The sequence below is a fragment of the Homo sapiens genome, chromosome 5, assembly GCF_000001405.40.
Source record: "Homo sapiens chromosome 5, GRCh38.p14 Primary Assembly".
NCBI classification, from domain to species: Eukaryota; Metazoa; Chordata; class Mammalia; order Primates; family Hominidae; genus Homo; species Homo sapiens.
In genome coordinates, this window is record NC_000005.10 from 15,099,481 (window position 1) to 15,116,105 (window position 16,625).

Sequence of the window (16,625 nt, forward strand, 5' to 3'; positions counted from 1 at the left end):
GAAACTCACTCAAAACCGCACAACTACATGGAAACTGAACAACCTGCTCCTGAATGACTACTGGGTACATAACAAAATGAAGGCAGAAATAAAGATGTTCTTTGAAACCAATGAGAACAAAGACACAACGTACCAGAATCTCTGGGACACATTTAAAGCAGTGTGTAGAGGGAAATTTAGAGAACTAAATGCCCACAAGAGAAAGCAGGAAAGATGTAAAATCGACACCCTAACATCACAATTAAAAGAACTAGAGGAGCAAGAGCAAACAAATCCAAAAGCTAGCAGAAGGCAAGAAATTACTAAGATCAGAGCAGAACTGAAGGAGATAGAGACACAAAAAACCCTTCAAAAAATGAATGAATCCAGGAGCTGGTTTTTTGAAACGATCAACAAAATTGATAGACTGCTAGCAAGACTAATAAAGAAGAAAAGAGAGAAGGTTCCAATAGACACAATAAAAAATGATAAAGGGGATATCACCACCGATCCCACAGAAATACAAACTACCATCAGAGAATACTATAAACACCTCTACACAAATAAACTAGAAAAGCTAGAAGAAATGGATAAATTCCTGGACACATACACCTTTCTGAGACTAAACCAGGAAGAAGTTGAATCGCTGAATAGACCAATAACAGGCTCTGAAATTGAGGCAATAATCAATAGCCTACCAACCAAAAAAAGTCCAGAACCAGACGGATTCACAGCTGAATTCTACCACAGGTACAAAGAAGAGCTGGTACCATTCCTTCTGAAACTATTCCAATCAATAGAAAAAGAGGGAATCCTCCCTAACTCATTTTATGAGGCCAGCGTCATCCTGATACCAAAGCCTGGCAGAGACACAACAAAAAAAGAGAATTTTAGACCAATATCCCTGATGAACATTGATGCGAAAATCCTCAATAAAATACTGGCAAACTGAATCCAGCAGCACATCAAAAAGCTTATCCACCATGATCAAGTTGGCTTCATCCCTGGGATGCAACGCTGGTTCAACATACGCAAATCAATAAACGTAATCCATCACATAAACAGAACCAAAGACAAGAACCACATGATTATCTCAATAGATGCAGAAAAGGCCTTTGACAAAATTCAACAACGCTTCATGCTAAAAACTCTAAGTAAACTAGTTATTGATGGAAAGTATCTCAAAATAATAAGAGCTATTTATGACAAACCCACAGCCAGTATCATACTGAATGGGCAAAAACTGGAAGCATTCCCTTTGAACACTGGCACAAGACAGGGATGCCCTCTCTCACCACTCCTATTCAACATAGTGTTGGAAGTTCTGGCCAGGGCAATCAGGCAAGAGAAATAAATAAAGGGTATTCAATTAGGAAAAGAGGAAATCAAATTGTCCCTGTTTGCAGATGACATGATTGTATATTTAGAAAACCCCATCGTCTCAGCCAAAATCTCCTTAAGCTGATAAGCCACTTCAGCAAAGTCTCAGGATACAAAATCAATGTGCAAAAATCACAAGCATTCTTACACACCAATAACAGACAGAGAGCCAAATCATAAGTGAATTCCAATTCACAATTGCTATGAAGAGAATAAAATACCTAGGAATCCAACTTACAAGGGATGTGAAGGACCTCTTCAAGGAGAACTACAAAACACTGCTCAACGAAATAAAAGAGGACACAAACAAATGGAGGAACATTCCATGCTCATGGATAGGAAGAATCAATATCATGAAAATGGCCATACTGCCCAAGGTAATTTATAGATTCAATGCCATCCCCATCAAACTACCAATGACTTTCTTCACAGAATTGGAAAAAAACTACTTTAAAGTTCATATGGAACCAAAAAGGAGCCCACATTGCCAAGACAATCCTAAGCCAAAAGAATAAAGCTGGAGTCATCATGCTACCTGACTTCAAACTATACTACAAGGCTACAGTAACCAAAACAGCATGGTACTGGTACCAAAACAGAGATATAGACCAGGTTCTGTTATTATCCCTACTACATAGAGCAGTTCCCTGAGACTCTCAGGAAGGTTAAGTAACTTTCTCAAGGTCACATGACTTGTGGGTGTGGGTTTTGAATTCCCCTACAGAGCTGAACTCTTATTAAACAGCTAGTAGATTGAATTTTCAGTTTCTGGAAAACATTTTGGTGACTGTGTTGCTTTTAGAGAATGATTGCGTAGCTTGTTAACTTATAATAGCATAAATCATCACAGTGGTAGGCATGTAAGGCATACACATGGAACTGACTATTAAAAAAAAACTGGCCAATCTGTTTAAATGTTTAGAATATCCAACAAATCAACATTTAGCTGAAATGAGTCCTTTGACAAGTGCGCTTTTGGGTTTACATTTGTGTATATATAATATAGAGGGATTGATAAAGCTGTATTTTAAGAAACCAATTAGAAAATAAAATCTGCGAGCTGTGCTTCTCTCATGGTAGTTATAGAAGCTGCTGCTCTGAATTTACTGCTAATTTGGATTAATTTCTATCCCACCAGCTGCATGTGAGAGAATGTTCTCTACATTTTCTTTTTTAAAAAGTGAGGTACAACCCTTGCATGCAGCATGTTCTATACCTCATTTTTAAATGACCTTAAATGTGGAATAGTTTTAAATAAATATTCCATTTTCATTATTTGATTCTGTCATCAGTGGCATAAACAAACTTTGTTTATTTTAATGTCTGGAGCTTCTGCTCTAAGACATATGTGAGCAATTATGTCATCCCAACATCTTAACTCACCCTTTTCTGTTTTAAAAAGACAAGCATAATTTTCTTTTTTCTTCTCCTCTTCATTTATTGCCAATGTGTTGATGTTCATCATTTCTAAATAATATGACAAACACGTCAATGGCTCCTCTCTTCAATAAGGCCAAATGTTGTAACATTTGGATATTTTTAAGGATATTTGAAATAAATGTTTTTATATTTTGGGAAACAGCTTTCTTAGTTTTCATTGAAAAAAACCCCATAAAACATTCTCCATATGTAGTAATTTAGGTAAATGTACAGCAACAAAATAAAAGAGGGATCAGTCTAGTAGTTTTGGAAATAGATGAAGAATGAAAATTCTATTACAGCTGAATGCAGGTCATTAAAACCAAAAGGACAAGGGATAGTAGAGAAATTCTCATAATATTAAAATATGGGGTTGTGTGAAATACGCTTATGTACCATCTTGTAATAAAGTGCTGTGGCAAGCATTATAAATCAAACCCATAAAGTTGTGGAAGTAGAATTTATGTACCTGTAACAGCCCTATGTATACTGTCTTAAATGGTATGTGCTTACAGAGCGAGTGAATGAATCTTAGAGATAGCGTAGGGTAGTGTTTAATTACACAGGCTCCACCAACTGGATTCTGCCACTAGCTTTGCCACATCCTAGCGATGTGATGTGGGACAAACAACTTGGTTTCTCTGGGCTTTTCCTTATATGTATGATATGGATAATAATGGTACCTTCATGATAACATTGTTATGAGGATTAAATGCCTTGATATCGAAGGCATTTTGACAGTCTCTGGCACATAGTAACCTTGTATGTGTAAGCTTTAGTTATATGATTGTTTTTCATTCTCATTCTTCTCAAAGGAATAAAATGAAGGTGAAGCTAATAGTAACAGAACTAATCTGCTTTGATATGATGAAAAACATGCAAGCATCACAGCACAAGGTTAAACTGCTGAAAGGGTTCCAATTCCAAAGAACTAACACCCAGATGCAAAGTGACCTGAGAGAGGAAAACTGAACGTCAACTTGTGTATCTGCTCCAGTCAGTTGCTAGTGACAGTGTGAAATGACGAGCTGAGGAGGCAGGAAGGCTGGTGACCTCGGGGAGGAGTGTGCTACGGCCACGTGATGTTTACCAAGTGTCAGGAGCTGTGGGTGTTGCAGTTCACCCCATATTTTCCTTCCCTTGCCTAGAGCAAGTTCACACACCCAGGCCTGCTGATTGAGCCAAATTCACTTTTTGTGAAAGAGTTGAGAGAGAGAGAGAGAGAGAGAGAACACTCATCTCTATCAATTTGACCAGGATATAGCTCTACCTGCTTCTATCAGCTGAGGCCAGATATTCAGCTAAGCACAGTCAGGAAATTCTTCAGCTGCTGACCAAATAGTCCTTTATCCTGTGAGGTGGGACCAGTTTACTAAAATTTCCCTTTCTTTGACAAAGGTCCCTGCTAAATGCTCCTGAACAATGTCTGCAATGCACTTTCTAATGGACTTAAAAAATTACAAAGTAACAATTTTTATCATCCATGGAGAATTTCTTCACCACTATCTTCAAATTCTCAAAGAGTCTTATATAATCCTACTATTGGTTTTCACTCACAGTAACTCACTAATCAATGACATTCGTGGAGTCTGATGAATCACATTGTAAATGGCTGTTATGCGTTAAAGTCAGCATATCAAGCATGTTGTGATATTTGAAGAAACCTGCAAAGTAACACGTCTTATATGCATCATCTCACTAAGCTTTATAAGCATCCTGAATGGTACATAATATCCTCATTTTACAGATCAGAATACCAACACAGAGAGATATATAACTCTTCCAAGATTACTCATCTAGAAATGGGCAGAACTTGAATTTCAGGTATATCTGACTCCAGAATCATAGCTCATCATTTTCGCTTGTTTGCTTTTCTGATGAGTTTGTAGGTACTCTTACTCTTGGTGTCAGGAAATGGTTTAGTGCCAATGTAAAATTTAGCTCCATGGAAAAGAGGCAACTGGGAATGGCCAGGTTGTAATTATCTAGTCATCAAACATTACAAAGGAACTGACTGAGCACTGAAGCTAGAAGAGACCAACTCTTGGCCTTGGTCACACCACTGGACAAGCAGGTGCTACTATCCCTGGTTAATCAGGATGCCTCTGGGGCCAGCACAGCCTTTTACTTGTGGGCATCAGATATTGGCTGGACAGTCCAAGGAGGATTGGGCAGATAGGGTGTTGGGAATGCAACAGCATCTGGGATCTCTTTACATTGATAAGTTCTATATTCCAGATTAATGTGCTAGTAAAATAACTGAAAAAAATCTATCAGATTCTCATTTCATGTAATACCTTAAACACTTACGCATACCAGCACAAAGCAGAGCCTGAAAGAGCTCAATTTGGATGGATTGTATACCTGGCTGATGGAAGATACACAGTTTAAAAATAATGGAAAATATGACCATGCTTTGCAGCAAAGCGCTCTCACAGTCAGGTGCAAATAATCATTTCTGAGAAGGTAGGAAAGGATATAAAACAGGCTGGGCTCATTTTTGGAGTCTGATAGATTTCAGAAGATTTGAAATCTTGGGTCATCTTATTGTTCTTTTACTTAAAGAGAAATTTTGACCAAAATATCTGTGAACATAAGATTGAAAATGAGATAATAAGCTTTTAGTTTCTGTTCGTGTAGATGTAGGCCAGAAGAGAGTGGAGCATGCATAGTAACTTCCAGCTGTGAGCAGCTGGGACCTTCCCCCAGAAGATCCCAGGAGCTCTGTGTCACTCCCTGAAGATTTTACCTAGACAGGAAGTTGTTTAAAGAAATATCTCTTGGATCCTCGCAGAGGGACTCCAGTGCATTTCCTGAAAACCTACAGAAAAAATAGTTTCATATTTAGTGAAAATGAATGGAAATATGGGTGTCAGCTGACATTGTCTTTTGAAGTCAAAATTTAGGAACAAATCCAGGATGTGGGAGATGAGAGAGACACCTGTCTGGGTTTTTCCAGACACATGAATGTGATGAAAAACAAAAATGGTGGTGGAGAAGCCTGTCCTAGATTTAAAGAGACTGAAGAGACATAAAAACCATAATACCAAGTGCAATGTGTGAACTTTGAATGGATCTTAGGTTAGGAAAAAAAAAGTTGTGAAAGATTTTTAGAGACAATAAGTATTTCAAGGTGAGGTCTTATAATGATTATAAGTTGCTATCAAACCATTCAGAAGAAAAAAAAGGAGATCAAACTAGAGAGATATAGAAAACACAGCAAAATATTAACAGTTGGTGAATCTAAGGAAAGAGAATACAGGTGCTTCATGAGACTATTCATTCTGCTTTTTTGAAGGTTTGAAAGTTTTGTAAATAAAAAGTTGGAGAACACGATCCCTAAGACTGTGTCTCTTTTCTGGAATGCCACATGCAGAACTCATCTCACAGATCAGCAATTGTCTTCTGAGTGTCCACCAGGTGCAGTCGTCTTCTTGAGACATGTTTTATGTTTTCCTTAATTCTATTTTGTCTTTCCCAGAATGGTGACTTGGCTTTGCACACACTCAGCACTTTGGAAGTACTGCTATAATTTTTAAAGTAAATTCTATTTTAAATAAATGCTGCTTGCTAGATGAGTCACCTTGGACAATTTACTTCACATTTGAGAGTGTATCATCTCCCCAGTTCCTGACACTCCTATTTGTGAAAACTTCATCTCCAAGTTTCTCCTCTTGGGTGGTTGGTTTCTGAAGATGCCCAGAGCTCATGCTCTGTCTGGGAGTGACCACAAGATGGCACTGTTTCAGAACATTGTTCTACTGGGAAGGCGGACATGAGAGTGTAGTTGAACCATTGACAAAGCAAGCTTCAATGGCAGAAGGCTGGCAGATTGGATACTGTGGTGGACATCCAAAAGATTTGAAACAAAGACCTAGAAGGTGGATTGGGAGAAAGACAATATGAGTTGTCCTTGTTATATCCCTCGCCTAGAGCTCAACCAGTTTATATAACAATATTCCCATGGAACTTGAAGTATTTTCTTGTCAGTGCCAACCACTGAGTTTGTAATTTTCCTCCAGCTGTCTCTGTTGTTATGTGTTAATGCAAGGACTTCACTTGGCATTTTTCTTTGTTATCCATGACCCACTACATTTACTATGTAAGAAATACAAACTGCATTCTACATTATGCTACCTATTTGTGGTACACGTTCTAAATACGATTAACAATGAATATTCTTGCCTCCTATATGTATCCATAGAATTATGGATTTTTGGATGTTACCATGATCCATCCATCAACCTTAAAAATCAAAGAAGAAAATGTTTCTCATTTAGAACCATTGTGTAGGTTCTAGCCATTATGTAGGCTGGACTTTTATACTCTGCAAGGATCTGATGACTGAAATAGATGACTGAAATGTATGATTTTGATGACCCTGTGACAAAGCAAACCAAAGTCATCTTTGTCTCAAGTCCAGTGGAGACTCAGTAAATTCCACAGGAGTCTAATAGAAACAAAACTTGATGACTATGCAATTTTCTTTGGATGAGCTTCAAATTGAGGCTATAGATCATTGTGAATGTGTAGGAGAGTTCTGTGTTGCTGAAGCCAGACCCAAAGCTTGAGAAGAGGTTAGGAGGCTGCTCTGGGATCTTCTTGCAAATGTGTCCCTTATTCCATAAATCTGCTTGTCCTTATCTCCAGTGTGGGCTCTTTGGCAGGACTCTTTTCATTTCTGCAAGGTGAGCTTGATGTCTGGTGACACATCATTTGTGGCCTTTTTCTCTGACAGCCTCCTGATAAATTCTTCCCCAAATGGACAGCCACTTGAGCAACTGTGTTTAATGGATTATCTCTTTAGAACAGTATAACCTTTGGATTATTCAGGGCTGAATGAAGTGCAAATGTTTGTCTTCCACTTGGCAAACCCGCAGAATTAATCCCTGGCTCATTTATCAGGTCAACCGGCAAAATGGCTTCCTACTGTGTAAAGATGCAGTGGTGTGCATAGAAAAGCTCATACTTGGACTGGAACCTATGAACCTAAATTGTCATAGGCTGCCTTAGTATGCCTTAGTGGTTAGTGTATGTTCTGCTATTTCACAATTATGGATTATTATTATTATTATTTTTTAACATGGAGTCTTGCTCTGTCATTCAGGCTGGAGTGCAGTGGCCAATATCGGCTCACTGCAACCTCCACATCCTGGGTTCAAGCGATTCTCCTGCCTCAGTCTCCTGAGTAGCTGGTAATACAGGTGCAAGCCACCACGCCCGGCTAATTTTTGTGTTTTTAGTAGAGATGGGGTTTCTGCCATATTGGTCAGGTGTGTCTCAAACTCATGACCTCAAGTGATCTGCCCACCTAGGCCTCCCAAAGTGCTGGGATTACAGGAGTGAGCTACTGCACCCGATCTACAATTATGGATTATCTTTTGTTTCTGATTTTTGAAAGCTCCACGGATTAGCTGTGAACTGGGATGAATTATTGTGAAGCCTAATTGTTCTGCCTATAAACACCAGAGTCAGTATTTTGCCTCTGACTTCATGATACACTATTGTTATATATTTACAGACTCCATTCTTAAGATTTGCATTTGATCACTGATTAAGTTTTTTCCCCCAAAGTGGAACACACTTTATCACCCTGGAAAGTAATGACTAGAGCTAAAGTTTTTATAACAGCCTCTATCTTTTCCAATTGTTTATAAAACTTTAAAATTAGGAAAAGACTGGAATAATTTAGAAATGCATTAAGGCAGTTATTTCCCGATTGGTTGCATTAAGTTACCACAGCTTCTAACATCTGTTTCTTTCAATATGTTAGCAAACTGCACCATCTCAGGTCGTTAGGACAGGAAGTGGCCAGGGCATCCCATTTTGCCTTTAAAGTAGTTCCAGTGTCCTCCAGGATGTAAGGATTCCAACATTAAACAATAGCTAATGGTAGCTATGCTGCCAGGAAGAAAGATTTCAAAACAACAGATTAAGCAAGAAGACATACTCTTTTATGGTTCAAAGAATGTAAAATATAAGATGGTGTAAATATTGAATGAAAGAGAATTGTTTTCATCTGATTGGAAACTTAGTACTAAATCTCTCAACTGAGATGAGTTCAGTAGTGTTGCAGATTTGAATGATTCTGACCTGATTGCTGCTTCCTTCAAATGGCTGAGCCATGAGTCCTCACTACTGCCTGATAGGTTCTCATCTCTTTCTTTTTTCAGGAAGTTCGATATTTTAGATTTTTAGCACACAGAGCAACTCCACAGGTCGTCTTCTGTTTTCTTCTTCTTTTTTTGTTTTTTGAGATAGGATCTTGCTCTGTTGCCCAGGCTGGAGTGCAGTGACACAGTCATAGTTGGCTGCAGCCTCATCCTCCTTGGCTCAAGTGACCCTCCCACCTCAGCCTCCTGAGTAGCTGGGACTACAGATATGTGCCACCATGCCCAGCTAATTTTTTATTTTTTGTAGAGACAGCGTCTCCTTATATCGCCCAGGCTGATCTCTAACTCCTGGCCTCAAACTATCCTCCTGCCTTGGCCTCCCAAAGTGCTGGGATTACAGGTGTGAATCACTGCACCCAGTCAATATGTGGTTTCTTAATCACCCAGAGCACCCAGCTCTATTGTTTGCCAAAGATCGTGTTCATGAGATACTCTGGCTGGAAAAGGTATCTTACAAGCTAAAAAATTTTTATGACAGAAGCTCTTGCTAAGAGCATTGAATTATGATGTTAATGTGATGTCTCAATTTATGAAATTTACTTTATTAAGGGAATTAATATCATTATAACAATATTGATGATGGCATATCCTGAATTTACAAAGGACTTTTCTACCTGTTGACTCATTGGGAACCATCAGGGCGAAAGAGAACCTGTGAAAGGAAATTAAATCTTGGAACCCCAAACTCATTAAGTCAAAGTGAAAAGTTAAAACTGGGTCATGCAAACCTGCCTCCCCCTTTTGGTTCCTAAATGAGATAGCTACAAGATGAAGAGCTACATGCCTCCCCCATATTTTGCCCACAAGGAAATTCCTAGTGAGCTGCCAGATCTTTACCCTAAGGTGTTTCTGTTAAGATTTCACCATGTCAATGTAAATTGATAGATTATCTTTACAGGTGCAGTCACCCCCCTGCTCATCAGATACAAATACATAGCTGATTGTTCCCCTGCCCTGTTTGGTCTATATTATCTTATGTAAAAATGCAGATTACAGCTGGGCCTGGTGGCTCACGCCTGTAATCCCATCACTTTGGGAGGCTGAGGTGGGCGGATCACAAGGTCAGGAGTTGGAGACCAGCCTGGACAACATAGTGAAACCCTGTCTCCACTAAATATACAAAAAAATTAGCTGGGTGTGGTGGTGGGCACCTCCCAGCTACTTGGGAGGCTGAGGCAGGAGAATCACTTGAACCCGGGAGGCGGAGGTTGCAGTGAGCTAAGATCGTGCCATTGTACTCCAGCCCTGGCAACAGTGCGAGACTCCGTCTCAAAAAAAAAAAAAAAAAATGCAGATTCCCTGCATTTTTCCTCTGCCCCATTTGTCTATGTTATCTCATATAAAAAACGCAGATCCACTGAGCCAGATAAAGCATGAATGACTATTTTTTTCCTACCCTCCTCTTACATGAAAATTGTGCACTTCTCAATATTTCACCCTTTCGCCTTTAAATTTGGAGCCCTCAAAATCATCTTCGGAGAAACATATAGACCTGTCTCCCAGGCACGTGTCCTTAACTTGGGCAAAGAAAGCTCCTAAAATGATTGAGACTTGTCTCATCCTTTTTCTCAACTGACAAACCTAATAATTTAAGTAAATTTGACACCAATAGTTTTTATACCTTTTTTGAAGCAGCCATGTGAAAAAATAGAAAGTGCCATGATATTAATGTAGTTATTGTGTAAAGAGCTGAGAAAGAGCTGTAGTTTACCAAGCATGTAGAACTAATAGTCTAAGAAGAACAGTTCAAAGAAACCCTGGATGAGTTCCCTGTCATTGAAACTTAAACCCACAGAACTGGGGTATGTTGATACATGACACTAGAAGGGCCTCCACGGGACTGATTCTAGTAGGAAGAAAAGTTAAGTTGATTGAATGTCCATTGACAGCCATGACTGTTCCAGTGGTGTGAAGCTTAACTATGTCCTAGGAGCTAGATATTTTTCAGCTCAGTGAGACAGAGCAATCATCCATGGTTTCACACAACCAGTACTTGGTTAGGGTGAAGCTTATCACCCAGATCTGCCTGACTCTGTCACCAAGCCCTTTGCCTGAAGGTAGCAGTCACCTTTAGTAGCATAACAAGGTCTTTATCTGCGGAATAGACTGTATCAATCATTTCAACATCATTGCTGGTCAGTGATACAGAAACAAACTCAATTCAACTTGGATTCTCCCTGAATCCTGAAAATGTCCCTGAGTTCTGAAATGGTTTTGATGGAAGCTAGAGGTCAATGGTAATTATCAGGACAATGAATTGATACTTCTCAGACTTCTCGTCTACCTTCCTACCTACAACTCAAAGGGAGATATTCTTCTTTTTTTTCTTTTTTAAAAATAGATTATCAGGAAGAATCAGAAAGGCTCAATTGGGGTGCTGCAAGGCCTGATTACACAGAGTTATTAATCACGTTTCATTCTTCTCCAATCATCATGTTCTGATCTGCCCTCCAAAAGGAGAAACAGGTAAGGATGATCCCACCTGATGATGAAATAACATTCTGTACAGAAATATGATGTCAACACATTCAGTACTTAATTGTGAGGTTAGTAATGTAAGAATAACCACGTAGGGGCAGGGAAAGTCAGAGATGCTAGAACCAGGATCTCGAATCATAGATTTCAGATTCTTGCAAATGGGAACGGCTAATGTGTTCGCTATTGGGTATCAAATAATGTATTCCTATACTGTACCTCTCCAAGTAATACCCACATCCCATTGTAGTACTTTTTCATTCTTGTAAGTTAAAAAAGTTAATTTAGCTTTTTCTCAAATTGGGAGGGGTTGGCCAGAGAAGAGAAAAATTTCTATGTGCAAAAGGAAGCAATTTTAAATGCTTTTTGGTTTGTTCACCTTCACAATGCCTTGTATCCTCCTCAACCAAGGTCTCATATTACTTCAGGAACAAGGTGAAGTTTAAGGTAATGTTGATTATATTTATGGCTTTCCTGAGGGGGAAAGAGAGACAGAAGTTGCTCATCCAAGAGCATCACATGAAAGGAATATTGAGCCGAGAATAAAATGCTCAGATCCAGAGACTTCACCTTCCTTGTGCTTACCCAATACCTTAATTATGCAGAACAAATTCATTGCATGTCATCTCCCCTTTAGCTTTGATGCCCATTTTCCTTACAGATATTTACATGAAAATAGCATCATTGTTTATTAAGAATTTGTTTTTATTCTTCTTTCTGAGGGCAACACTCCCTTTAAAAACAGTGACTTTGGTCACCAAACCCTGAGGGATAGACCCACATTGTCCTGATTGTAACAATGCTGATTAGTTGACAGGGAAACATGGAACTTCACAGCTAACATCAAAGTGAGTTAAAATAGACAAGCTTTTAGCATAATTGGAAGTTATAATATTCATGAAAAATAACTTCTGCTGATAAATTTTGTGTTAATTCTCCATAATGGGCGACTGTTGGCCTTCTCAGATAGGCTGATGGTTTCAAAAAAGATCGGGTAAACAGACTTCTTTAAAGGATCTTGCACTCTGACAAATAATTAAATATACTTTAGAAGATTTCTTTAAGGGATCTTGGATTCTGACACATTATTTAAGAAATCTTAACAATATTATTTATAACTAAAGCTTGATTTTGAGCCCTTGCTTTAAGCTAGGGACTGTGCTAACCACTTGGCATCCATATTAACACACTTAATCATTACCACAGTAGTTGAGGCAGGACTTTTTATTGTCTACATTTTACAGGTGAAGAATTTGTGTAGCAGAGAGGCTAAACAGCTCATCCCAGAAAACATAGGCAGTCAACTGGCAGAGCAGAGGTCTGAGCTTGGGGAGTCTGCCATTATTGGTAGTGGACTTCATTAGCTGTTTAAAAACTCTACTACCTCCCAACCGTAATCCCATTGGTTGTTCATTCATAAAAGTCAAAATTAAAAAAAATATTAATTGTTAAAGAGCTGGAGAGTAAAAATTTCATTGCATAAGCAAAAATTTCCCACAGTGGACTCTTTTGTCTCATTATGCCAATTCTAAAATAAATTAGAGCCCTATTTTTTTGGCTTCTTTGTGCAAGGGCGGAATGAGCTTCAGAGCATCATTTGTTTTTGTAGTGACTTCAGGCATATCAATCCTCAGTGAAATGACAGTCATAGGACTGGCGGAGACGTTGGCTGACCCACAGAAAGCAAACCGGCTCTCACATGTTTCTTGCTCTCTCCAGAGCACACATCCATCCTTAAAGCTGTTTGGTGGAAAAGCCTCATTCAATAGTGAGACAGAATCAAGGGCCAGTGGGTGAGGAACAAGTCCTTCTAGAAGATATTTGTGCAAAGGGTTCAGTAGGGAGAAAAGTTGTTCTCCTCTAATGTCCTCTTAAGGAACAGCATGCTTTTCTCTGCCAAAGAAATAATTCTGTCTTCAGAGAGCTGCCACAGGGAATGTCCTTGAGTCCAAGTGGGCTGTCTCCTTAGGGGTGTGCTTGGGTGTCTATATCTGCTGCATATGTGCAGAGAATGATGCAGGAGGCTTTTCAAAATGGAAAAGTGACTGGAACTGGTGATGAGCTGAAACGATAAAGGCAAACTGAAGTAAACAATATTTCATTTTAAAGAAAGGACAGAATGATACTCTCTTGGAGTTCATATTTTTCACCAAAACTGCCTCAGGATTAATCACAGGCCTATCTTTACAAACATAGCTTCCAGCATGGCCGGATTAGATTGGATCTGTTTTCTCATCTCCACCATTCAAAGAATATCATATATTTTAACTTTTGTGAAAACTCCCCTTAATAAAGACAAAAGTAGTAATTAACAGTCTCAGCAGCTTAGCTGCCAAGAGTCCCTATGGCTCTTCCCTGCTTATAGATCTACAAGGACAGGCGCTGCCTACCAACAACCCTGGAACAACATTTTTTCCTCTTTTACTTGTTCTCCATGTACCTTATAACCAGTTCAGGATTACTACTATCCAATAAAAAGGTTTAAATTTTTTTTCATTATTATGCTAGAAAATTGGTGATCAAATATATCTTTTAAATGCAAAACATGCTTTTGAGTAAGAGTCATTTCAATGAGGTGCTTTATATCAGGATTTTCATCCTCACACTAATCTTGAGATGGCTGGACCTCTGTGTGTGTGTGTGTGTGTGTGCATGCACATGTGAATGTGTATGCATAGGTGAGCATGAGTGTGCTGGCTCAGTACCTGAACATCCAGGGTGCAATATTTATTAAGGAGGCCCTCAGTCTTGTGCAAGCGCAAGATTTGTATTTTCCAGTGAGCACCTCCTTAAATATTGGCCTTAAGCGTCTCGTACCACACCCATTCTCTAATAGAAGGGGTGAGAGGTGGAGGAATTGCTGGCTTAGTTTCCTGTCCCCTCATGGATAGTGGAGGCCTGTGATACCGCAGATGGGTAAAGTCTGTGAGCTAGGCTAGATATGGTAGTGCTGTCACCTCGCCAAGATACTAAAAGGGAAAGAAGCTAAAGCAGATTTGCAAAATTTGCGATGAGTTTAAAATGTCTGCAATTTAACTCATTGATGCTTCCAACAATGTTTTATAATTGTGTCATTCACAAATTAATTATATGATAAAATGTGAATTCATAGTACATTCTAGGTGGTACAATTTATGAATGGGAGTCATGTTTAAAGTTGTCAGATAAAAATATTCTCTCAAAGCTGCTAGCATATCTTCCTGGCTGCATGCACCCACTCATTTATTGATTAAGGCCAGGAGTCTGCATTTGAGACCCTCCAGCTCTCTGGAGCCTGAGGCAAGTGACCCATTAGCCCCTTACCTCCTCTGCATAGGTTCCATATTTGGGGGTCTAAGTGGCAAACAGCTATGGGCCAAGCTGGTTTTGAGAAATGTTTTAGTCAGTGTTCTCTAAAGAGACAGAACTAATAGGATAGATGTATATATAAAGGGGAGTTTTTTAAGGAGTAGTGACTCGCACGATCACAAGCTGAGGTCCCACAACAGGCCATCTGCAAGCTGAGGAGCAGGGAAGCCAGTCCGAGCCCCAAAGCTGAAGAACTTGGAGTCCGATGTTTGAGGGCAGGAAGCAGCCAGCATGGGAGAAAGATGTAGGCCAGAAGACAAAATCAGTCTAGTCTTTCCATGTTTTTCTGCCTGCTTTTATTCTAGCTGCTTTGGCATGGTTGATTAGACGGTGCCCACCTAGACTGAGGGTGGGTCTGCCTTTCCCAGTCCACTGACTCAAATGTTAATCTCCTTAGGCAACAAACACCCTCACAGACACACCCAGAAACAATACTTTGCATCCTTCAATCCAATCGGGTTGACACTCAATATTAACTATCACAAGAAATAAATACCCAATCCCGGCAACCTCCTACTCAAAGGGGCTCTGCAGAGAAGCAAAGCCCAGGGTGACTTCTGAGCAGCAGCAGGGAACCCCAAATGGAGTTTAACCTTCAGGTAAAGAAGAGAAACTGACCAAGGCACTCATCCTGCGAAACAGTGACCTTCAAATCAGGCAGTGGCTTTCCACTGGCTGTGTGTTAGGACCCCTTGGGGGAACTTTAAAATCTATACGTCCCCAGGAATCTCCCCAGACCCATGAAATCAGAATCTGTCGAGATGGGTTGGACATTTCTAGTTTTACAAAGCTCTCCAGGTGATGCTAAGGTGCAACTAGGGTTGGAAGGTATATTCTGGCGAGCTACCAGGCTGGCCAGGTACCTTTACCATTTATTTCTGCAGAAATCTGTGACCTTTGTTTTGGTGGAGACGGAGGGGGAAGGCCCTAAAGGGCAAGGAGAATGGAGGATTCCTAGAAAAGGCACCATTTCCTGGTTGAGTACAGCCTGGTAGGCAGGAGTGATTGTTCGGGAGTGAATGGGAAATCCATCATCCTTTCAATGAGAAATGGATAGGGAAATGAAATCATATTTCCTAGCTTCCTTTCATACTCCCTAACTTCTGTGCTACAGCTGCAATAAATTCTGAACCCTGTGCCCCAAAGATGTATGAGGACAGAAAGTAGCTAATGAAGTTCCTTTTCCTGATCATCAAAGACAGCGGTAATGATTTCACTTCCATCCCAGGCCTGGTGGCCGAGGGGATGCTGGTTCCCAGATGAGAAAGATCGAGTTGACTGGAGATGAGGTTGCTTGCTTCCATGGTTTTAAACTTCAGCTCATCTCTCAAGCTCGGGTGATGCCAAAAACAAAGACAAACAACACACCAGAAAATTACATAAACTGTTCTGGAAACCTATGAGATATTTAGGTTGTATCTGAAAACAATGGAAAAAAATTCCAAACATAATTGGAAACTTTCCCCATCGATTTTCTCAGAATCCCAAAGGACTAAATCCAAATTTCTGGGACAGGTCTGTGGGTAATATAAATGTTAAGAGTGGCCTGTCCTGAGATGCTAAGATTCTGGAACTGACCAAACAATGGCAACCTAGGTGCTTTGCCCTTAAAAATACTGTGTAGGTGTATTAAAAATACCCAAAGAAAGCCTCTTAGCAGATACACATGACAGTCAGACCCTTCTGCCTTAGATGCTTAGGCAGGTTTTCTCCTTCAAAAAAAAAAAAACAACAGATTTCATATTAGGCATGTGTGTGTGTGTGTCCAGGAAATCATTGACCTGCTTCTGGTTTGATACTGTAGAAAAACAATTCTTCATACATATATAATGAGTATATGGAGCAACATAG

The 16,625-nt window shown here is 39.6% G+C and overlaps 1 non-coding gene across 1 annotated transcript; it reads right to left on the reverse strand.

The window, feature by feature from the left end:
- Positions 1 to 11,305: 11,305 nt before the first annotated feature.
- On the reverse strand, positions 11,306 to 11,440 carry LOC124900197 (U8 small nucleolar RNA). The gene has a single exon (XR_007059146.1). It is a non-coding gene; the product is annotated as a U8 small nucleolar RNA (small nucleolar RNA).
- Positions 11,441 to 16,625: the final 5,185 nt, after the last annotated feature.